Below are 25,895 nucleotides of genomic sequence, written 5' to 3'. Positions count from 1 at the left end.
AAACATCTAGCAATCTGTGTTGTAAATAACTGACTTAGAAACAAAAAAAAAAAACCTCACTCTTGCAGCATAGATTGGCTGCTGATAAAAGAAACATCATTTGAAGAAGTTGTCTACCATGGTAAATTTGTCCCTTGGAATATTACTGCAAAATCAGAATGGATTCTTAATCAACATGTTTTAGGCACTTTCCACTGAAAACAGATCATATAAAATATCTTGAAATGTGCTATACTCCTGTTTTTAGTATTATTCACACATTTACTCATTAGTTCTTTCATTCCACAAATAATGACTGCCCACTATGAGTGTACTGTGCTAGTAGGTTACTTATTCAAACAAAGAAGAATAAGACAAAGTTGCTGCCCAAAAGTACCCGCAGATACAGGAAAGACACAGATGTGTAAACAGAGTACCACACAAGGCTACATGAGAAGAGCTTCCATGGGGTTGAGAAGGACTTAACAGTCAACCATGTAAATACAGTGGACCAGAAAGAAGAGCTGACAGGCAGGAGGAGGGAGCAAGAGCATGTGCAAAAGCTCAGAAGCCGCCACCGGGTAAGCTGCGTGGATTTGGGTATGGGGAGGGAGTGGAAAAGGACAAGGGTGGAGAGGAAGGACAAGCCCATGTCAAGAAGGGCCTTCTGTGCTGTAGTAAGGAGTCTGCATTTCCTCCACACCTTTAGTCAGTGTGGAGCCCATGAAGGGGAAATGATAAAACAGGGGAATGATATAATCAGACTTAATTTTTAAAACCTACACCCTGATAGTAATGTGAAGTCTTGATCGAAGAGGCCCAAGATCCAAGAAAGACTCAATCCCAGGCATCCAGAATGAACCCATGCTTTTTCACAAACAGTTCCCAGATGCGCTACATTGTAATGTGGCTAAAATAATGTGAAATCACTTTCTAGAATAGAAATGGTCTTTCCCCAAAAGAGCACCCTTTAGGTGAAGATAGCAATAATGATAACCTGTGAATTGCTTGAATATCTCAGGAACAAAATAGTCCACATTTCAGCCTGTCATGGATCAGTGAGAAATTTTGTATCACAACTAAATTGATAAGCATAAAAGTAGGGGCTTGAAGCAAGACTCAAATATGGCAACTTCTGCAGAATGAGGCACAAGAATACATGGATTCTATGGTACCAGGTGACAAGAGCAAAGGCTTTAACCCTACACATGGAGAGATGATATTACTGGTAGCCTCCTAAAAAACAAAAAAAGAAAAAGAAACATTGGGCCTAGCAAATATATGGAGCAAACATGAGGCATTTAATATCTGTTCAACAAATGAACTGAAAAGCTATGAGAATGAGGCCATAAGGAGCATGGTGTGGCTACTTGACTTTCAAATAAGAAATGTTCATCTGCACATCATTATTTCTGTAAAACAAAGCTTCCTAGCCAGTGTGACCAGAATGGAGCTGCCTGGGCAGACTGGAGCAGCCAGAGTCCCCAGGCCACTTGCCAACAGCTATGAGCTATCATCACAGGGTGTTGAGCAAATATTATCATTTTCTCCATATGCCATGATGAAAAAACAAAAGGAAGCCCTGTGCGGTGACTGTTGTCAAGGCAGTAACAGGTGCCTCTGTCATCAGGCCTGCAGGCCAAATGTGGCTCTAACTTCTATCAAGACAATGGTAAAGAAGTGGCCTGGGTTTGTTCACATTTAAAAGTATAGGATCAAGGCCACAATAGCTTGATATTCTGGAAAATATTCTCATAATTTTGTTTTTCACACCCAAAAAAGGAATGAGTTATGGCAGGGGGCAGATAATGGCAGCTAGAAAATAGCTCAAAGAAAAAAAGTCAAAGTACTTTCTCAGTTTTGAAGTCATTTTTCAACTTTTATCTCCACCTAATCCCCAAATAGATATTTAAGGAGACTCCTTGAAATTGCATGGGCTGAATTTTGAATGGGGTAATAAATGTAAGCCACAGTGATGAGGAACCTCCGATGTTGCCACTGAAGCACCATTTCTCTGCATTTCTTCCCCCAAACCCAACTAAGAACAGGACACTGCTACCGCATCACACTTCCATCATCAAACCATGGCAAGCCTTTTGGTAAATAGCGGAAAGCCCTTGGGGACAAGCAAAATAACAAACTAGAGACATAACTTCAAATTCTCTCTGATAAATAATAACTGCTTAACAGTAGCATCATGAATGATCACTGGTGTTTGGGCAACATCTTGTTTGGTAAGGACAGCTACCCCCCAAAAAAACAGAAGAAAGCTGACTGAAGGTAGACTCTGTATATGGGTGCCACTTCCAGGTCTTACAAGCAGAGTATCAGCCTACACTAGCATTCACCACTAACTTTACTACTGAAGAGCATAGTTCCTCACATACCTACAGCTACCTAATTTAATTGAATGTTCAAGCTCTATCATCTTCATTATTTTTCCCTAGGACAAAAGGTCAACTTTCATTTTTCTGAACTAGATTTGAAATGGCTAGATTTCAAAGGAGTAAAAGTTCTCAAGGTTCTCAAGGTACATATTCTTTGAGAATACCTTAAGAAGCTGTTGGAGAAGTACAAATGTTTTGACACTGATTCCTAGAGGAAGGTTTTGGACCACCATCTCACAGTTACTTTTGTGGACCTTCCCAGCATAGCTGCCCAAATTTCATGTCTGATCGGGGCAAATGTAAGGAACTGTACAGTTCCACAACAGCTTGCTAAAGGACCTGGAAAGACCACATTTTGGAAGATACTTTTCCAAGACGGAAGCCAACACCTGGTGTTGTTTATCAATACTTAATACAATGGGCCATTTTTAAGTCACATGAAAATAAAGCAAGAGCCTGAGGTATCTCACCTCGAGCTTTCTAAATAGAACAGGGCTTTGAAATTAACTCTCATGTGAACCACAGATCACATGAAGCAAGGAGATATAACCTAGGCTTCATGTCACACTGATGGACTATGACAGTACATTGGCTAGCCTGTCCTTACAGAATCCATACTCTAGCTACATGTGGCTACTATGCACTTGAAATATGGCTAGTCTAAATTAAGATATGCTATAGTATAAACTGCACACTGGAGGCCAGGCGTAGTGGCTCACACTTGCAATCCCAGGACTTTGGAAAGACAAGGTGGGCGGATTGCTTGAGTCCAGGAGTTTGAGACCAACCTGGGCAACATGGCGAAACCCCATCTCTACAAAAAAATACAAAAATTAGCAGGGCAAGGTGGCACACACCTGTGGTCCCAGCTACTCTGGAGGCTGAGGTGGGAGGATGGCTTGAGCCCAGAGGGTCAAGGCTACAGTGAGCCTAGGTTGCACCACTGCACTCCAGCCTGGGTGACAGAGCGAGACCCTCTCTCAAAAAAACACAATAAATAAAATAAATAAACTACACACTGGGTTTCTGAGGCTTAATTCAAAAAAAAATGCAAAATACATACATCATTAATAATTTTTGTATTGCTTACATGTTAAATGCTATTTTAGGTATATTACTAAATATGTAAACAACATATTTACAACAAGTAAAATGTATTGTTAAAACTAATTTCATGATATGACTTTCACATTTCTATTGGACAGCACTGCTTTAGACCCTGGAATTGCAGGAGGAAGATGCATATAACCTTTTGCAGGATGGGCAGAGGTTTATCTGTAGACTTTACACAACAAAGCATTTCCCACATTCTGTTGACCTCATCACTAGAAGCATTTATAAGTAGCACTCTTTCTATAAGATTCCCCTTTAATCTCACATAGAGATACAGTCTTATTGTTTTAGGCTTTTTTGGGGTTTTTTTGTTTTTTGTTTTTCTGAGCCATATCATTTACTAAATGTACTTTAGCAAAGAAAAGTTGCATCTTGAACATCCCCTAATCATCTAAGGCTTACAGTCTCACAAATTGCTGTCAACAATAAAATTTTGCTTTGAAAACTACACTGCCTTCACTGGAATACTGACTTTACTGGAGCTAATAAAATGTATGAATTCAGCTATTCCACAAGTTCACCAAATATCATACTCACTAGAACAGGGCAAACAGCAAGAGAAATCTGACAGGAAATGACTGGGCCCACAGATTGTCAGAAAAGAGTTCCTTTATTCATTTATTCCTTAAACATTTAAGAAATTAAGAAACTAAAAATTAAGAAATACCTACCACCTGCCAATCACAATAGTGGTTTTCTATTTTATAGGCTTTATAATAGAACAGATAAATCATTCTCAAAAAAAAGAAGTTGTTTGACAACATCAAGTCTTCACCAAAACTGACTGCTCCCCTCCCATCACCTAGATGGTTGTTGTCAAGGTGAAACCATGACTACCTTCTTGTCAGATTTTTGTTTGTTTGGCTGGTTGGTTTCCAAGAATAAAATTGCACTGTCTGCTTCAGGTTTTTCAAGATTTTTTTCAACTAACCCTCAGCATCACCATTAAAGTTAGACAGAGAGGAAGGAAGGAAGGAATAAATAAAACATCCACAAGTTTTCTCCTTGAATTGTTCCTTCTTCTCTCTCACCGCTTCCAACCCCCTCCTGCCTCCATCTCTCCTTTAATTGAAATGGCTTTAGTGTTTGGCTGTATATTTAATAATTAATACAATGGGCCATTTGCATTCTTCATGTTCATATACATGGGGCAGAGATCCAGGTTTTGGTGGGGTCTGAAACTCACCTAATTTGAGGGTCCATCTTAGAGTAAAAAATTATTAACACAAAATTGGGTATAGGACTGTAAAAGGTGCCCATACAAGTTGAGGGGGTGAGGCTCTCTAAAATTTAAGCTTCATTAGCTTCAAAGTAAGTCACCTCTGGTCATATAATGTAGACACCTAGATGTGTGGGCTAGGGAGTGTCTTACTATTGTTTGTTTTATTACAAAGATGGATTTTATTAAAGCACTCTTCCATATCCTTTCTCTTCAACAAACATTATAGAAATCATTCCAAGATAAGTGGTATAGCTCAATTCATTTTTTAAAATGACTGCATAACATTCAGTGATTCAGATGTACTACAAGTTATCTGACCTTCTTTCTTATAAGTACATATTCCCTTTGTTTCTAACTTGGGGATTTTAGAGGGGAATCTTACTTTGTCACTACTAAAATGCTTTTATGGTATTAAAAAAAACTCTCTTTGGGTTTTTTTCATAAATTGCATTAAATGTATTAATTTTGGGAAAAGTAGCAGCTTTATGATGTTAAGTCTTTCTATCCAAGAACAAAGTATATGTTTTTCTATTTGGTCATAATTCCATCCACAGGGAATTTGCAACCTAATAAGGAAAATTAGGCTTGTACACAAATAGCCATGATATAAGAAAAATGGAAAGTACAAATTGTAACACATGAAATTGAAGGCAGGGAAGAAGAGTACTCCAGAGGTGAGATGTAATCTGTGCAGGATTTTAACACAAACGAAATGGAGGAGCGGGAGGTTAAAAGGATGGGAATCTGGGAAAAAGCAACCTCAGCCAAGCAACAGGGATATTCAAGAAACAGTAACTAAGCAGTTTGAGGAGCTGGAACACAGAGTACGTACAGTGAAGTAACAGGAGATGGGGCTAGAAGGGTAGGCTGGAGCTCATCACAGCTAAGAATGCCAGGACAGGAGAGTTTATCCACATTTCAGCAGGGCAATGGGAGAAACAGCCGGTTTGGGGCCAAGAACAAGACAAGCAAGATGAGAACTCTATTTTAGGATCACTCAGGTGTGTGTAAGGCAGCCTGGGAGGAGAAGGGCCGTGCTCAGTTAGAGAACTATTAAAATGAAAGGTCCACAGGAAAAGACGTGAGACCTGAGTCAGAGGGAAGGAAGTGAGAACAGAGAGGAAAGACAGATATAATTAATACATCCTGTGGCACCAGTAGAAGTGATCCGAATACTCACTAGGTTAGGGAGGAAAACAGCAATGTTTCTAGCCTTGAGGCTGGGTGCTCAGTAGGATGGCAATGTGGTAACACACACAAAGCAGAGGACCATGTTTGGGTAAAAGATGATCAGTTTCTTTTCAGATATGTTGCATTTAACATGGAAACAGAATATCCAAACAGCCCTATTCTAGACTAGGGCCCCAAATGTGAGGGCTGTCCTTATCTTACTAAGGATAGAGATAAATTGTATTACTCCTCTGGGGAAACCCAACGGATGAGTTCACCTTCCGAGAATGTTGAACCTACTCACATTGTACAGGCTTCTCATCTTTCAGAAAAAGTTAATGACTTCTAGACTCCTCCTTATCCTACTCTGCTTCAACATCTCCTTACAGCGCAAACCAGCTTGGAGATAGCCTTTGCCTGCATTTTGAGCAGTCAAGACATTAATCAAAAGTCTTGTAATGATGCCATGGGGAAAAAAAAATTCAGTGAACTTTTAGAACTAAGTAAATTCAGCCATATTTCAAAATAAAATTTATACAACCAAAAATATTATAAGGGGGCTTGGCATGGTGGCTCATGCCTGTAATCCCAGCACTTTGGGAGGCCGAGGCAAGAGGATCACTTGAGCTCAGGAGTTCAAGACCAGCCTGGGCAACATGGTGAAATCCTGTCTTTAAAAAAAAAAAAAAATTAGCCAGACATGGTGGCATGCACCTGTAATTCCAGCTGCTTGGGAGGCTGAGGTGGGAGGATAGCTTGAGCCTGGGGAGGCAGAGGTTGCAGTGATCCGAGATTGTGCCACTGCATTTCAGCCTGGACAAAAGAGCTAGACACCGCCTCAAAAATAAATAAATAAAAGGTACAAATTCAGTTTTATTTTAAATAAAACCTGATTTCTAAAATAAAAGTAACATAATTTTACTACCCTACTAGATTTTTCTTATAAACTAAAGGTGCAAAGTGATTGTATATAAATGAGAGAATATATATAGATATGTTGTTTTTCCAAAATAAAATTTTGGTGACTCCTGATTCAAAGGAAATAACCAAGGCTGAAAGGACAAAACTGACCACTATGGAAAACTCCAGAATGCTTTTATTTAGCACCCACTCGATTTGCAATACATGAGTGTGACAGGGGGAAAAAATTAATCAACATGAAATTATGTTTTGTAAAAAAAATTAAATGTACAAACCTCATAATGTTCATATTCATCCACATCAAATGTCTCAAAGTCAAAAAATCCATGTTGTAATCCCTAAAAGCAGAATTTGAATTAGTTTTTCCATGCTAAATTGATAAACTCTACTCATCATTTCTGGAACTCCTACTTACAGAAATGATCCTCACTAATCTGAAGAGACAGCTTGAAACCTTTGATGTTTAATGCATATCTAGAAATCTTTTTATAAAACTGGTTATATTGCATTAAGACTGTCTTACTGGAACTAAAAAAACACTTAGAATAACATGAAAAAGCCCCACAAAAGATGCCTTGATTTCTAATTTACATCAGTTTTGTATGTAAAATTATATGTATACAAAATGAAATAAAACAAATTTATAGTTAGAACCTGTTGGGAACTAGACCTAACTATGACAGAATAGATCATAGTGATTAACTTCTTTGTTAGGAGAAGAAAAATCAATTATTCTTATGAGTTTTTGTCTTCCTTTTATCATAGGGAGATATTTAGCCCCCCAAAAAAACCCTGCATCTTTTACTGTTTTTTCTTCCTTAATATTTCTACTTAATAGGTCCTTAATAATATTTGATGAGAGAATATATATATTTATATATAATATATAGTATATATTTATATATACTATATATAATATAGTATATTTATATATAATACATAATATAGTATATTTATATATACAATACATAATATATATGTAATATTTCTTAATATTTCTACTTAATAGGCCCTTATTTGTTCCTAAAACTCTACCTTGGGAGAATCTGTTTCATGAGATAGTTTCTGACAAAGTAGAATTATACTTGACTGCTCTTACAATTTAAAAAAAAAAACATATTTTTATCACAAAGTAAAAGTCATACTCAGTTTTGTAAACAATGACTTAGAACTTTTAAAAACTATCCAGCTAGCTCAGATCTAATATTTTAAAGAGAACAGAATCTTTTATTTTATAAATCATGAAGCTATACAGATTACAACAGAATACAAAACCACAGGTACATTTAAAAGTTACATGATCAAGTCATTAAAAATAGAAAAAGAAACTAGCAAGCCAAGCTCCAGTACATCTATCAGTGTTTTTTCAAAACACAGAACATGCGCCATCAGCATCAGAAACACTTAGGGTAATTCATATGAAAGAAGCAGACTCCTGGGCCCCACCCCAGAACTATCAAATCATATTTGCTGTGGTTGGGGCCCAGGATCACCATTTTCAGCATAGCTTCCCAGGTGATTCTTAGAAATGCAAAATTCTGATAACACTGGTTTAAACAACCCCTACAGAATAAGCAGAACAAATTATTTAAATTAGTCCATTCTAAAAAAAAAAAAAAAACTGAGTTCATCCATATGCACCTTTCCAGACAAAAAAGTGAGAAAAATATACAAACTCTCTGAAGGATTCACTTTTTTTTCCTCTGTATTTTCAAAGGGTTTGCTTATATCCATGTATAGTAGTTCACATAACATGGAATATAAACTATACTTATGACAATGCCAATACATTAAAATCAGAGAAATGTGCTCCCTAAAAAGGCAAAAATGTGGCCATACTCTGTATAGGTTCTTGGAATGGTACTACTCGTTGCCACACAAAAATAGCCCAGAATATGGTGCCTTATGTAAGAGAATGAACTTACAGGAAATGTCTCAGGTGCTTAAAGACATGCTGCACAATCTATCAGATCCTCCAAAATCTCATTTGTCTTTGAGTTAACCCCAACATTTGATGAAACAAGTTTACATACCTTTCCTCTACAACAGGAAGGATGCCACAACTTTCTATACTGAGTTACTAATTACCATAATTACAGGCAGCGATATTCCAGTGTGAACTTTCTAAATTTTTTAAGTGTTATAAAACAAATGGCCTGTAGCAGATGGTAGAAAAGGCAAAATAATAATAGTGACGATAAATAAATTATTTTTTCCCTCAGGCATATTTTCCAAATGCTATAATCAACTGTTATATGTTGGGTAACGTCTCCATAGAAGCTCTTAACTGGCATTACTGGAAATGCACCTTGGTAATATTGTTGCAAGAGTGGGCTAGAGTATCTCTGTAGTTGTTTAAGTAGAAAGAAAAAGATTTGAAAACCATTTTAAAGTTTGATAGGGTTTAAATTCATTTTAAATTAAATAGAAACAACCATGTATAAAACAGGTAGCACATTTATCACACCAATTTTCTCAACTCAAAACACAGCAAAAATCAGTTTTATATTACATCCAAGAAATGAACTAGAATTGCTACTGATAATATATTTATAGTCCATGTGACATTATTATATATGTCCTATGATCAATAGGTTATGTAATATGTACATTCCTGACTGATAATAAACCATAGTTATATGTTCGAGATTATGTACTTTGAGCCCTCATTAGAATTTACAGTATAGCTTATATAACTTCTCAGATTGTGAATTTATGTTTCTAAAACATGTTCCGAGAGCTCTCAGAAATCTTCTAGTTTAACTTCTCCATTATATACAGAAATAATTAAATAACTATGACTTGGTTCTCAAACTTTGGAGTGCATCAAATCACCTGGAGAGGTTGTTCAAATACAGACCGCAGGGCTCCACCCCCAGAGTTTTTGTTTTAGTGGGTCTGGGGTGGGACCAAGCAGCAGAGGAGCACAGTGGCTTAGATAACTTCCTGACTCTCCCACACCAAGATCAAGCCTGATAATGAAGCTAAGCATGTGACAAAGCAATGTCACAGGCACTGCAGCTGATAGTGGTGATAAATCTGCCCTGGAACACAAATAGTTTAAACGACAAAGAAAGGCCCCTGCCACTCCCTCCTCCCAGTTTTTCCTGGTGTTTGTATTTTACAAATCAATCATCCTTCAAGAAGTGAAAAGCCTTCTACTTACTGGCTCCCCTTTCTTCCCTCCAATAACAAATAAGGATGTTGAGATTATTCCTTTCTCATATTTTTTTAAACTACTGTGTCAACTACAGCAAGGAGAATTGTTATTACCTTTCTGATTCCCTGCAAACAGTCGAGAATGGTGAGATTGTAAGTGCAATTTCCAAAGGAAGCATCCCTATAAACATAAATAAACTCAACATTAAAAACTTGCATTTAGAACATTCAAATAATAAAATATAACACCAAAGTCAGCTGGAGATGTGCTTGTTTGGCTTCACAGCTATCAACATGGTAAACTTATATAATACATTAGATCCTACTAATTAACTACCACACTTAACTGAAGCACTTCTGAAATTGCTTTAATCCAAGAGGCTGATTTAAGAGCCTGCGTTCCTGAGTCCGACTGCCTTAGTTCCACTTCCAATTCAACCAGGTACTGCACAGGAACTTAAGCAAGTTATTTTACCTCTATGCTGAATCTTGGTCTCCTCATCTGTGAAATGAAGTTAATGATAGCAGCTATCACTCATAGGACTGTTGTCAGATTATGTTTTTTAAAATATGTAAAGTCCTTCATATAGTGGCTGGTACATAGGAAGCACTTCATAAATATTATGACTATTCTTATTATTAACAGTGAATTGAACTGTTTGATTAAGTAAAACATTCATCATTGCAAGAGGTATTCTGGCAGAGGAATAACCTCCTGTCAGGAATATGATAAAAACAAGCTTAAAAGATAGGAGAGACAATGTATGTAGGCCAACAGAACCTAGCAGGTGTTTTCATGGATTAAATGCCATCCTTCCCCTACAAAAAAGAAAAGAAAAGAAAGAAAACAGGAAAATGTAGTCAGGCTTCCAAACAATCTCCTCTGAGCCACTGGGAGCCACGAGAGCTTCTAATGCACCATGAAGTACTCCTTCAAAAGGAGTGGGAACCTACCGTGGTGAAAATTGAGTGCTTCATACTTTATTTAAGTTTTTAGAGCAATTTAGCAGACCTGCTTTAGGCAACATAAAACTAAAGTATCAAGTTCAGGTCAGTTAAGCAAGAACTGGCACCAGAGCTTTAACACTACAGTGTTCCAAGGTGTCCGAGGTAGGAAACTTGACCTCAAGGCTCCAGGCTCTCTGCCCAGCCTCCACTGCTGACCCAAGAAACAGAGCAGGCAGACACCTATCTAGACAAAGTGAAAGGCACATATGGCAGCCATCAGGAAGGGGCCAGAAGACGTTCCAAGGGGAGAATAGACCTTTAAGGGCTTTAAGGTATAATTAACATAAAACCAACTTTTACAACCATTCAAGGTCACTTGAACCTATGGCTGCTAAGCCATGAAGTGAAATGTAACTTCATCATCCCTGAGTTTCAGCATCCCGAAAGCCTAACATAAAACTAGGAAGTTAGCAAAGCAACTTAACAGAATGCTTAAGTCCTGAAACTTCAATTATTCCAAATATTTATGTCTCATTTCAAAAGGAGGGATCTTTGTTTTTGTGTTTTTAAATATCATCTGAACTCACATGTCAGCAAAAAATAAAATAGCCCCCTTTTCAAATATCTTGTAAAAATGTAAACTATATGTTAGAAAGCAAATTTTAATGGGCTATGCCAGAGAAAAGAGTGACTAGGGATCTAAGAAAAATATTAGTTTATATAAACAACCATAAATTCCTTTGCAGACACTTGTCTTTGGGGTTCAGAGTCTCTGTGCCATGGACTCTCAGTGACCTGAGGAAGCCTGCGAACCCATTTCCTCAGAATAATGTTTTTAATGCATAAACTAGGATTAACAGAAAACTATTTCAATTACATTTAAATAAAGTTTAAATATGTATTTTAAATATACTAAAATACAAATTTGCAATACCCCAAAATGCACTTTTCAAATTAATATATTATATAACAAGATCTAGTGGCAAGTCTGATAACTGCCACTACAATTTTGAGGAAGGAATGAGCATAAATATTTTAAGAAATAATAACTGTAAGTGATATTAAATTGTCACTTATATTGCTAATGCTACTACAGTTTATTTACAACATTTATAATTGGATGTAACTTTATAATTGATAAGGTAAGGTCAGTAAAAATAAAGATATAATTTTTTTCTCATCTAAGTTCACTGACTCTCTGAATTCTCTTCCACAGACCCTAGATTAAAAACTACTGCTTTACGTTTTTTAAAAGGGGGTAAAAATTTCTTTATATTTAAAAAAAGTAAAAAAAAAAAATTACAAGATGTAGAGGTATCCCTTATTCTTTCAAGTATGTCTTCCCACCCCTAGACTCAGCTAAACAATGTCACTAATGTAAGCTACCAGAAAAAGTTCCAGGCCTATTCTTTCTGAATGTCTGCAAAGTATGGTGAGGCTTCCATGATACCTCCTACCCCATCACAGCCACAATTGTTACCAGTGACTAAAAGGAGAGCTCTGGTGACCCGGTGGTCAAATCTGCAGGCCTCCAAAGTTGGGAGGGAAAGTTAACATGCCATCCGACAGAACTAGGCAAGTCAGTCACCACAGGCTGAAAAGGCACAGAGAAGTTTACAAATTGAAATCTAATAAGGAATGCAATAGAATTTAGTCATATCCTCCAGATTGAGAGAAGGAAACGGCATGCCTTTTTTGAGCACCTACTGTGTCAGGTAATTTATATGCATAGCGCATTTAATCCTCATGACAGCCACATAGTGCCAACAGGTTCTCAAAATCTGTCCCAAAGACTGGACAAGAAAGAAATGGCTTAATCGTGGCATGTGGCTCATACGTAGTCACAGGAAAATACTATAACAGTGAAGGGACACAAGAACATGTTATGTATTCTCTGGGGGAGAAAGAGAGAAGATAAAGATGGAAGATTGAACCCATGCATCTACCGAACCCCACTAAAAGGAGATTTTTTTTTCTTTGAAACAGGGTCTCACTCTGTCACCCAGGCTGGAGTGCAGTGGTATGATCTTGGCTCACTGCAGCCTCCACCTCCTGGGCTCAAGTGATCCTCCAGCCTCAGCCCCTGAATTAGCTGGGACTACAGGCACAAGCCACCATGCCCAGCTAGTTTTTATATTTTTCGTAGAGCCAGGGTTTCACCATGTTGCCCAGACTGGTCTGGAACTCCTGAGCTGAAGTGATACACCCACCTCTGCCTCCCAAAGTGCTAGGATTACAGGTGTAAGCCACTGCACCTGACCAAAAGGTGAATTTTTAAAGGCTTTTGTTTTTTAAATGGAAACCAACAAAGACTAGGAGAATAAGAGAAGAGACAAAACAATAAAATTTTGAAAGCTAGAAATCATTTAGATGAGTGGTAAATAAGTTAGAAGACCAAGAAAACTGAATACTAAACTGACAATGAAAAAACTGAGAACCAGTTGGGCACAGTGGCTCATGCCTGTAATCCCAGCACTTTGGGAGGCCGAAGCAGGTGGATCACCTGAGGTAAGGAGTTCAAGACCAGCCTGGTCCAACATAGTGAAACCCTATCTCTATTAAAAATATAAAAATTAGCCAGGCATGGTGGCAGGTACCTGTAATCCCAGCTACTCGGGAGGCTGAGGCAGGAGAATAGCTTGAACCCGGGAGGCAGAGGTTGCAGTGAGCCAAGATTGTGCCACTACACTCCAGTCTGGGCAACAGAGTGAGACTCCATCTCCAAAAAAACCAAAAAAAAAAATGATAACCAACACAATTAATACCAGGTAAGTCTCAAAAGGCTTAGGAATTGGCAGCACTGTGTTCTCCTGGAAGTGAGGATAAAGGAAATGACTAAAATAAGATTGAAAGTCCATTTAAGAGGCAACATTCCCTCCCATTTTGTAAGTCAATTTTCCCTGTTGATTTTCCTCAACTCACCAATATAGTCGGGACCATCTAATGGTTGGCCCTGGGAGACAGAAAGATACCTGCCCCACATGATGTTCAAACTTGGAATTGGAAGATCCCTTCTAAGGAATTTTTTTCACCTGCATTATAACATGAAATGGAGGTCAGGAGTTAGGAAAACAGCAGACTACTGAACCCAAAAGTCCCCTCCTACTCTGAGGTTTTACCACCATACAACACCATTGGTCATCTCTTTATCTCTCTTCTGGATCCTTTCCAACAGAATTTAAACATTTTCAGGTCCCTACTAGCTCCAAAAAGAACAAGCCAACCAAAATTTTCCAAGCTCCACATCTTCCTTCAGCTTCCACCCGGTTTGGACTCCTCTCTAAAACAAGATTTCTCTAAAGAATTACTCCTTTTCCTTTTTTTTTTTTTTTTTTTTTTTTAGACGAAGTCTCACTCTTGTAGCCCAGGCTGGAGCGCACTGGCACAATCTTGGCTCACTGCAACCTCTGCCTCCCGGGTTCAAGCGATTGCCTCACCCTCCCGGGTAGCTGGGATTACAGGCGCCTGCCACCATGCCTGGCTAATTTTTGTATTTTTCGTAGAGACAGGGTTTTACCATGTCAGCCAGGCTGGTCTCGAACTCCTGACCTCAGGCGATCCGCCCACCTCGGCCTCCCAAAGTGCTGGGATTACAGGCGTGAGCCACCGCGCCCAGTCTCATCTTCCTTTTTAAAGTGTACAATTCAGTGGGGTTTGGTGTATTCATAATGTTGTACAACCATCACCAGTAATTCCAAAATATTTTTACTACCCCAAAAAGAAACTTTGGACTCATTTGCAGTCACTCCCCATTCTCCTTCCTCCAGCCCCTGGCAATCCACTAATTTATTTTCTGTCTGTCTGGATTTACTTATTTTAAACCCAGAGAACATTGTGCATGCATCATCTTAGCCTAATATGTCAGCAACAAGTAACTCCCTACTTTGCTCTCTTCTCTTGGTTCCTGGATTTTCCTTCTACCCTCTAAACACTACTTCCAACCTCCTTTGCAAAGTCATCCTTCACTTCCCAGTCTTTAAAAGTCAAACCTTCTCAAGGTTCAACTCTAGACCAAAATTCTTCTCACTCCATACTCTCTCTCTCTAGACCAGGGCCTCTAAAACTTTAGTGTGTATTGGCATCACCCGGATAGTTCCACAGACACAGGCTGCTGGGCCCCACCTCAAGTTTCTAATTCAGTAGGCCAAAGGCAGGGCCTGAGAATTTGCATTTCTAACAAGTTTCCAGGTGGAGCTGAGGCTGCCGCTAGAAAGGCATGTATTTTGAGAATCACTGCCCTAGACATCTCCATAAATTACCATCTATCTGCCAATGACCCTCAAATCTCTCTAGCACAAACTCCTTCTTAAAGCTTCAAAAATAGTACAGCCAACCACCTACATGGCATTTCCGTTCGGGTGTCTTAAAGATGCCTCAAACTCACTATGTAAGAAGAATCTCTTGAATCTGCTCCCACTCCAAAAAAAAACAACTGCAACGATAATCCAGTCTTGCAGCGCTCCCTGTCTGGGTAAAAGCTCCCACAGTCACTCAAGCTACAGGCCAGAAGTCTCACCTTTCTTTCCCCTTATCCTATCCCTCACTATGCACCATTGGTTTCACCTCTTAAATATCTCTTGAATGCATCACTTGCCAATTCCATTGCCACTGCCTTCCTACACCCACTCTTAAAACTTTTTAATGGTTTTCTTCACTGAAGCCAGAGTGATATTTTTAAAAGGCAAATCTAATCTGATCACTCTTCAGCTATAACCCCTCACTGACTTCCCATTGCTCTCAAGGGAAAGTTCAAATCTTCACTGTGGCCACAAGGCCTGGGGGTATCTGGCCCCATCTTCCCTGAGCTCCCCAGTAGCCACTGGGCTCTTCCTACAGAACCTGCACATCTGCAAGTCACATGTTCTTCCCTCTCACCCTCATCTTCCCACTTACCCTCCTCAACCTTCAAACCACCACGCCTGGCCACAATTCTATCTTTCTAAATGTGACTTCTGGCATACTAGTCAACTGAACTATACAGCTATTATACAGTGGTTATAAAAATCCACAACTATGACCATAGGAAGAATTTGCAGTCAATAAATAGTTCTTGAATGAAAAACTAAATGAATAATATTTAAATAGAAGGAGCAATTGGGACTTGTTGTTTATTTTGTGTTTAGTGTTTATTTTGCAGAAAAACAGCAGGAAAAAAATTAAGTTTAAGAAAACTAGAATCAACATCCACAATTAAATGTTAAAGAGCTTGTTTCACTGGTGTCCCAGCACTGTCTTATATAGGCTCTCAAGAGTGAACTGTTAAATATTCAGAAATTTTGAGAGCCCAAATCAGCAGTGGTAAAAGTATTTGTACCATGGAAATCAGCAAATACTTTTTACTTATAGAGCCAGTTTACCAACATACCACTGCTTGTAACCTGAGAATCTAAGAAATCACTCAGAATGAAGCAACCTTATAAATATTAATAATGGGAGATGAAACCAGAGATGAAAGAACATATTTACACAAAATAAGAAAGCATTTCTTATTATGAATAATGAAGTTACTCGAAGAAGAAAGAATGGAGAACAGAAGCACAGTGTCTACAATGTGGAGACTACATTAAAAAATACAAAAAGAGCTGATAGAAAAGAGACTAAGAAATTTTGGAAATGACTGTGATCTACAATTATCTTAAGTCCTTGATTCTCTAAATTCTCTGGGTAACAAGTAGTTAGGAGGTATGCAAAAATTGCAGAGCAATGGGTTGGAAAGGATCATAAAGGTCATCTAAGAACCCTTATAAGCACTGAACTGAATCCCCTCTTCACAACCTCCACAAGAAGATGAGCTTCTTAAGGACGGGAAACGTGTCTTTTATGTCTATTGGCCCAGAGTATAGTACAGTGTTGGGAAAATTAGTATGTTATAGATGTTGCTAAATGAATTAATACAGGAATGAATAAATGATCATTACCAAGAGTTCATTCAACTTATGCCTGAACACCTCTGGTGGCTAAGAACTATTGACCTTTTGAAGCAAAAATGTGTCCAGGCATGATGGCTCACACCTGTGATCCCTTTGAGAGGCCAAGGCAGGAGGATTGCTTGAGCCCAGTAGTTTGAGACTAGCCTGGACAATAGAGGGAGACCCCTTCTCTATTTAAAAAAAAAAAAAATTTAATTAGACAGGAGTGGTAGCAAGCTACCTAGAAGGCTGAGGCAGGAGAATTGTTTGAATTCAGGAGTTCAAGACTGCAGTGAGCTACAATTTGGCCACTGCACCCCAGCCTGCTAACAGAGTGAGACTCTATTTCTGAAAACAAATAAATAAAGGAGAAAGTATATAGAACAATCTTTAATTATGAGCTATGTACAATAGCAAAAACACTCTAGATCATCACTGTCCAATGGAAATATAATGCCATCCTCAAAAGAGAGCCTCATGTATAATTTTAATTTTTTATAACCATATTAAAATAAACTAACAAGAAAAAAGTAAATTTTAGTAGTGTATTTTGCTCATCCAATATATCTAGAATATTCTCATTTCAGCATTAATGAACATAATTATAAATAAGATATCTTACATTTTTCTTTTATATTAAATCTTTTTATTTTGAGAGACAGGGTCTCACTATGTTGTCCAGGCTGATCTCAAACTCCTGGCCTCAGCCTGGGATTACAGCTGTGAGTCACCACACCCCGCCTTTTATACTACATCTTTGAAATCCAATATGTATTTTAAATGTACAGTCTATCTCAGTTTGGACTAGACTGATTTCAAGTGTTCAATAACACATGTAGCTACTAGCTAACATACTGGACAGTTCAGCTGCAGACTATATTGTCCGTATACTTCAGAGCTAGACAATGCCCAAAATACTTTACACAGTTGTCCAAAGTACATCCTAGTTTCCAGCCTCTGAACAAATCTATGACATATATGTACCAGCTACAATAAAAGAAAGAGCTTATATCATTGAGACCTACAAGACGAAACTGTATTGAGAATTAGTAGGGAGGACAAAACCATCTCCCATTCATGAAAGAGCAAAACCACATGCCTCAGGAGGCAGGGCCCAAAGTTGAACGTGACCTGTACCTAACAACAACAACAACAAAAAAACAGAATCTCAGCTTTTCAGATTTAACATAAGGCTATACAGGAATCATTTTACTCATCTAAAGAAACAGAGATACATGAAAATTCAATTCTAAAGTCATGGCTTAAAAGGTCACCTGAAATCAGCAGAATAAAATCTGTCTAGAACTAGCAATAACACCAGAAAAACAGACCAAGACCTGTACTCTGGGCATTTCATCAACATCTGACTGACACCCATTTAACCAGTAATTTTTCTATTCTTTTTTTTTTTTTAATTTCAGAGACAGGGACTCATTCTGTCACAGCAGCACGATCATAACTCACTGCAGCCTCAAACTGCTGGGCTCAAGCAATCCTCCCACCTAAACCTCCCAGGCAACTAGGACTACAGATGTGTGCCACTACCCCTGACTAATTTTTATTTTTATTTTTTTTTTGTAGAGACCAGGTCTTACTATGTTACTCACACTGGTCTCTAACTCATGGGTTCAAGTGATCCTCTTGCCTCGGCCTCCTAAAGCACTGGGATTACAGGAATGAGCCACCCACACGGCCAACAATTTTTCTTTAAAAATAAAAATAATGGCAAATTGGTTTTAACTCAGGTATTTAAGAGCTTTTCATAACATTCAACAAAATAATAACTATTACTATGTTCATTAAGGTAAATGACTGCAATCTTATTCAAAACCATATTTATCAACTAAGGCTACTGGAAATATACCGTAAAGAGTACAAAAACTTTGGCACCTACCCTACTTCACTAAGTTTGGTAAAACTGATCTGGAACCCTAAAGGTAGGAATAAAAAAAAAAAAAGTAGTCTGAGCGAATTTTCGCAACACAAATCACCAAAGCACCTTCTTGTTCCAGCAGACAAAAAATAGAATAATATAACTCACCTCCATGTGAGTTCTTAATGGGTCATGGAGACACTTACACTTGTTTCTCTTCTCAGGTCCTGTATAGCGGAGCTTACTTAGCACTTTAACAAGAAAACTCTGACAAAGAGTCTTTTTTCATGGGGGTACACTTATTCAAAATATGCCCCAGCTGTTAAGAATGGATTCAACAGTTTGGACTGGAAAAGCCATCTATTTTCAACACTCAGGAAATTGGCACATCCCCACTAGTCAAAACTAACGCGAATTAGCTTCCATTATACCAAGCACCAAAAGCAAAAGTTTACTAAAGATCCATGGGGCAGAAATGACCCCAAAGATCAAGACTGAGAAACAGCGAGGAAAAGTTGAGAATGAAAGGAACATCTTAAAAGAGGATAAAATATTGTTTCCACAGTTTTGATACTCAAGAGGAAAGCACGGTAAGGAGAACTTTCCCTTTGAAGTACAGTTAATTGCTAAACAAACTTCGACAAAAATCACAATATCATATTTAAGCTAATAAAAATCTGGTTCAATGTTTTATGTAAGGAAATATATTTTATGATTACATCTAACGTCTACCAGCACATGTTTACTTTATGAAAAAGAAGGCAGCCTGATGCCAAGTCCTAAGTGGTTGACCAACTTTTTGAGCCTTTGTTTAAAGACCTACAGTGGTTGACCCTTTTGAGCCTTTGTTTAAAGACCTACAAGTTCTGGCATGCCCAGAAGATCTAAAATAATTACTTTTGAGATTTCCCATTAAGACTCAGCCACAGAGCTCAGCAACTGGGATATCACTAAGGGTCATCCCCCAAAACACAACAAACACCTCCCTCAACACAAACATTATGCATCCATTTTAATGACAGATGTCATAAAAGGATTGCCAGTGGGAGGGGTGTGAATCCTCTGTTAGAGAAGATTGTCTGGCCTCACAACAGCAAGAAAACTTGGATATTCCTGTTCACATTAAATAAAATACCATGATTTGATAAGCCATCTATTTCCAAGACTCTCAGGAAACAGCATAAAAAAAATGTTCCACAAAATGCTAGCATATTATTTTAATCCCAAGAGATGTTTTTTGTTCCACACAGGTGTGGATCAGGAAATATGCCTCAGAGTGTTTCAGAACAGGAGTTCTGCTGGATATTAATGGAAAGTATGGGGCAGGAGGAAGAAAATCAGTACTTTGTAAAATTCTGGGCCAGATGCAGTGGTGCATGCCTGTGATCCCAACTACACAGGATTTGAGCCCAAGAGTTCAAGCCCACCCTGGGCAACAAAGTGAAACCTCCATCTCAAAAAAACAAAAAGAAGAAAGAAAATTCTGGGTTATACAGAGCTAAACAGGTTACTTCATTACTCAGAACCATTCAGAATCTTTAAAACAGAAATTTGCTTTGTAAATCTCCAAGATGGAGAGTTTTAAATTTACTTGATATATATATATACACACTTGATATATATATAATATATATATAAATATACTTGATATATATATAATATATATATAAATATACTTGATATATATATATATATTTTGCCATGGTACATCTTACAGAGCAGGAGTTCTCAACCTTGACCACACATATTGGCATCATATATGCAGTTTTTCAAAATCCCAATAACTCTGACTTCACCCTTGACCAATTACAGCAAAATTTCTGGGCACAGAATCTAGGGATCAGTAGTTTTTTAAAGCTCCCCACGTATGCAGATAAGTTTGAGGATCAACATAACTTTGAGAAACACCTGTAAATTCTAGCCTCTTCTCCAAGCTTTAGGAAAAAACTAAAGGGATAAGACATCGAATGTTCACAGCTTTATTCCATTACTGTCAGCACATTACCCTACCTAACCTTACCTCCAGACTTAGTCATTATTTTTCATGCCATGCTCTCTGGATATGTCTTCAGAACTAGATCCCTGGATGTTATTTATTGTCAGCATAATTTTATTCCCTGTTTAATTGTATATGTCATTTTATTTTATATTTATTTATTTATTTATTTATTTATTTTTTGAGATGGAGTCTTGTTCTGTTGCCCAGGCTGGAGTGCAGTGGCGCGATCTTGGCTCACCACAACCTCTGCCTCCCAGGTTCAATCAATTCTCCTGCCTCAGCCTCCCGAGTAGCTGGGACTACAGGCACATGCCACCATGGCTGGCTACTTTTTTTTGTATTTTTAGTAGAGACAGGGTTTCACTTTGTTGGCCAGGCTGGTCTCGAACTCCTGACCTCAAGTGATCGCCCACCTCCCAAAGTACTGGGATTACAGGCGTGAGCCACCGCGCCCGGCCTATATGTCATTTTAAAAACTGGCTTTTAGGAGATTTAGGAATTATCACCAATACTAAAAAACGTACCAACCTGATACATATGGACCAATAAACAAAGAAATAAGTATAAAATGAATTTAAAAGCACAAGAGACATCTTAAATAAGAATTGTACAATTTAGATTGGTTATCTTTTCAATGTTTTGCGGGACTTTAAATTTTCACAAATACTGTTTTGTGAGCACCAACAATGTAGATTTGAAAACCACTGCCACTGACTGCCATGAAAACAATCTGGACATTCCACTAAGGGTCACTGGTCTCCTGGGGTTTTAGACAAGCTGAGATTAATACGACTTTGTTTGCTCAATAGTATACACTATAATTTAGTAGTACACTGAAAGGAAGAGAACCTAAAAAGATTCATACCTAGATTGTCAATTCAAACTCTGCTGAGTCTGACCCCAGAACTGAAAGGCCTCTTGTTCCCTTGAAGGCTAACTGCCAAGCCAACACTGAAAATGGATGACTCAAAGAATTAAGGTAGATGAAAAACACCCCTTTCCCCTGATTTTCACCTAAAGTCACTCTTAATCAACACATTGGCTATTCTCAGTAAAAGTGAATACAGTTTTTGACACACCTACCCTCCAATTCAACAGAACATCCTGAGACTGACTCACAAGTGACATCACAACACTCACTGCTGTCACACAAGCCAGAAATTCAACTATCTCTAAAGTCAACTATACTTAATTTAATCAAGAATAGGCAGTTAAAGCTACACAATTCTCGTTTTTTGTTAATTTTAACTAGGTGAATAGAATCTAAGTAGGAATAAAATCAGATCATTCTTTTGGTTATAATAATGTACCCATACTGTGAACTTCGTATTATATATACTACCTAACATACCATTATACAACCTATGCCATACGAATAAATAAAATTAGCACCTAAAATCAGTGCCTGAATTGCTGTTCTCCAGTTTTCATCCTAACATGAAAGGCATTCCATGGGGCCTATTCCTAACATCTTCTCCTACCCCCCCATTTCAGAGTTAAACCTCCTTCCTCAGTATTCCCATAACACCTCTCTCCTAATTCTAACAAAGCACTGTAACTGTTTTACACACCTATACATGTATACAGACTATACACTGAGCTCTCCTGCAGCAGGTACCAAGTTGTCCTAAACATCTTTTGATCCATAGGACTATCACAGTGACTGGCACTGAAAAAGCAATAAATATATTTTAGTATACTTGCTCCCTCAGGACACAATAGGAAAAGAACCAACCACAGCCCTCAAGAGAAGAGTCAGCCATGCAAACAAATAATTATAATACAAGGTGTTTGCTTTAACGTTGTATGTAGCCTTGTAATACATAAAATGTAATAGGGAATCACAGGCAAAGGACCTGCCAAGCCTCTCCAGAAAAATGAGGAAGGCTTTACAGAAGTGACTGCTCAGATAAATGTTTGCAAAGTGAAAAAAATTTGAAAAACAGCATTATTTAAATTCACAGTAGCCATAAAACTCTTTTATTAGAAAGAAACTAAAATATATAGCACAAATGGGAACACAGACATTTCAGTGAAAAGTGTATATGAACATACCAACCACACCTTCAACAAGCCTTCAAAATCATCTTCATTTTTAAAAAATTTTAAATAATAAAACAATTACATCCAAATAGAAATTCCTTTAAGGCTTCTCATTTTTAATTAAAAGTGTTAATATATCAGCAGTTGAAAAAATCTAGACAATGAAGACAAAAGTGTAATTTCATAAGAAATGGGATTTTTTTTTAAACCTGGTGATAATAAAACCCAGATTATAATGAAGGCCAACGCAATGATGGCTGCCCAGAATTTAGTATGAGGATGATTCTTGATAGAAGTCCATTAGTCTTAGTTGGCCTGAACTGTAGACTAAAAACAACTCACATCTTATCTTAGCATAATAAAAAAATTAAGTTTCCAGAAAACTAGTAGTATTCTTTCAACTAAATTCTTCACTAAATTATAAATGTACTACTTTGTGGTATTTTCTGTTTCAAATGTATGGTTTATGAAGATTCTAGATTTAGAAATGAAGCTTAATGTAAATACAACTCTTGGTATCCTAAGATATCAAAAAGATAGAACTTAGAGTTACATTCAAAGGCATACTTTTAGTAGGAAATGGGTGCATATCTTCATTTACTTATACGTGCATAAAGAAATTCTAGACTGATATCAAATCAACTAATACCAGAAGTTACCTGGAAAGGACTAGACAGATGAGGATCAAGGATGGGAGGGATAATTTTCACTTAAACCTTCCTATATAGATTTTTTAAATTTCTGAACTATGTTAATGTATTTATATTTTCAAATATTTACATAAAAGTATTTGAGTGAAAAATATTTGAAAAATAGGCTATAAATTTAGTATTTATGTAGAATTGAAATCAATTCTATGTTAAGTAGTATTAATTATCTTACTATCTTTTCTTCTATTCTGGTATTATTATTTTAAAATTCTAGTTCTTGACTGGGTGCAGTGGCTCACACCTTTATCCCAGCACTTTGGGAGGCTGATGCAAGTGGATCACTTGAAGCCAGGGGTTCAAGAGCAGCTTGGCAGACATGGCAAAAGTCCATCTCTACTAAAAATACAAAAATTAGCCAGGCATGGTGGTGGGGGCCTCCAATTCCAGCTATTCAGGGGGCTGAAGCAGGAGATTCTCTTGAACCCAGGAGGCAGAGGTTGCAGTGTGCCACTGCACTCCAGCCTGGGCGACAGAGTAAGACCCTGTAATAATAATTACTACTACTATTAATTATGTTACTAACAGTAATAATAGTATAATGCTAACAACAAGAAAAACAAAAACCAAACATTGCACTAGGCAGAAGGATAAATTTATTACTTCATTTGATCCTTAGTTTAGACCTGAAGCCATTTTACAGATAAGGAAACTGTGGCTGAGAGAGGATAAGTAATTTGTCCGAGATACTTATTTACTACAGACAGCAAGAAGCAGAATGAGGCTTCAAACTGCTTGAAGTTTCTCTGCCTCCAAAGTATATACTCCTAACCACTTTGCTTAGAACTTAGAATTATCAGCATTATTACCCCTTTCTGAAAAAATAGGATTATATTTTACAAAGGACTTTCAAAGTATAGGAGCCATTAGAAGTGGAAGGAAAAATAAGCTTTGTCTTCACCATTAAAACTTTCATCTACATTATCTGCCATTTTTTATTTGCCCTTCCACGGCTGATTACCTCAGACTCTAGGTTGATTCAGAATATTTTCCCCTCAGGGTCCAAATCCCAATGCCTTACTCCTTGACTTCACTTTAATTAAGCACAATAGGTGTTGCTTCTTCCCTCCCCATGTCTTACCCTAACAGCTACCTCCTGTGATCTCAGAAGCAGAATGAGAATCCCTTGACTCTTAAGGGATTTAGTCTTAATGTATTCATTCAAATATTCACTAAAAGTGCTTTTAAGTATAAGGCACTGGGGCCTGCCCTCTGAGAGTTTACAGCAGAATGAGGAAGACAGACAAGCAGAGTCTTCTCAGTCACTCCCATTCCTTTCGCTCATTGTGTTGGTTAATTATGGTAATAATAATAAGCAATAAGCAATACACATGCTTGCAGATTTGGACACACAAGCAAAAAAGGCAAAAATATTAGAATCATTCACAATTCTAGCAGAGGTAAGTGTTATGGGAGTTTTGATGTATGGTCCCTTCTACTGTATGTATGTATGTATTTATTTATTTGAGAAACGGTATCACTCTGTCACCCACGCTGGAGTGTAGTGGGGCGATCTCAGCTTACTGCAGCCTTGACCTCCCAGGCTCAAGCGATCCTCCCACTTCAGCCTCTCAAGTAGCTGGGACTACAAGCACATACCACTATGCCTGGCTAACTTTTGTATTTTTAGTAGAGACGGGGTTTCACCATGTTGCCCAGGCTGGTCTCGAACTCCTGGGCTCAAGCTATCCACCAGCCTCAGCCTCCCAAAGTGCTGGGATTACAGCCATGAGCTACTGCACCCAGTCCCCTTCTACTTTTTAAATGAGCTCAAGTTCACCCCAAATTTTTAAAAGATCTTCTTTTGATGATACTTAGAAAACACAGTAATGAGAGAAAGGCTTCCTGGGGATGCCAGTCAGATTTGTGTGCCAAACTGGTGATTTAGGGTCCCCACTAAACAGGTGCTCCTGAAGAATCTTAGAGGGTCTTATTCTATATCCCCGGCCTCTGACATGTGACCAGAGCTCAATCACTGCTTATGAAATGAAAGAATGAATGGATGAATCAATGATGTAGATTACTGAAATCCAACAAATCTTGACATGATTATTAGCTTATAAATGAGGCACTTTTTGTGCTTGACATAAACTGTAAAGATATAGAAAGGATTCAAAGAAAAAAATAAATTCCTACAAGAAGAAAGCTCTTTTATTCTTGCTAGCTAGGGGGATAAAACTCTACGAAATGAAATAATAAAAACTACCATCTCATTTCATTCCATATAACATAATGGTTATTATCTTAAGACAATTAAAAAACACTACAACCCAACTCTAAAGTGTCCAGCTCTGTAGCAAAAGTTTAACCCAAGTCTCACCAGGAGTTATACCTGAATGGAAGATAGGGGGGGTTTGAGCCAGACAGGAGTGCTCTGTAGGCTTCTTCTGGTGTCTTCTTTAAATAGATTACCTAAGACAGATAAATAGTAACATTTAGAACACCCAAGAATGACACAAAACTAA

The 25,895-nt window shown here is 37.8% G+C and overlaps 1 protein-coding gene across 6 annotated transcripts in view; it reads right to left on the bottom strand.

Moving 5' to 3' along the window:
• Positions 1 to 25,895, bottom strand: part of CDC14A (cell division cycle 14A) — a 175,277-nt gene that overhangs the window by 70,214 nt on the left and 79,168 nt on the right. For all 6 annotated transcript variants that reach the window (NM_001319211.2, NM_001319210.2, NM_003672.4 and 3 more), the window contains exons 5-7: positions 25,763 to 25,842; positions 10,066 to 10,132; positions 7,068 to 7,130 (exon numbers count right to left, since the gene is read on the bottom strand). In NM_001319211.2, the coding sequence (NP_001306140.1) occupies positions 7,068 to 7,130; positions 10,066 to 10,132; positions 25,763 to 25,842 (210 nt within the window). The remainder of the gene's footprint in view (positions 1 to 7,067; positions 7,131 to 10,065; positions 10,133 to 25,762; positions 25,843 to 25,895) is intronic.

This window comes from Homo sapiens, chromosome 1 (genome assembly GCF_000001405.40).
Source record: "Homo sapiens chromosome 1, GRCh38.p14 Primary Assembly".
NCBI classification, from domain to species: Eukaryota; Metazoa; Chordata; class Mammalia; order Primates; family Hominidae; genus Homo; species Homo sapiens.
This window is presented reverse-complemented; position numbering and strand designations above follow the sequence as displayed.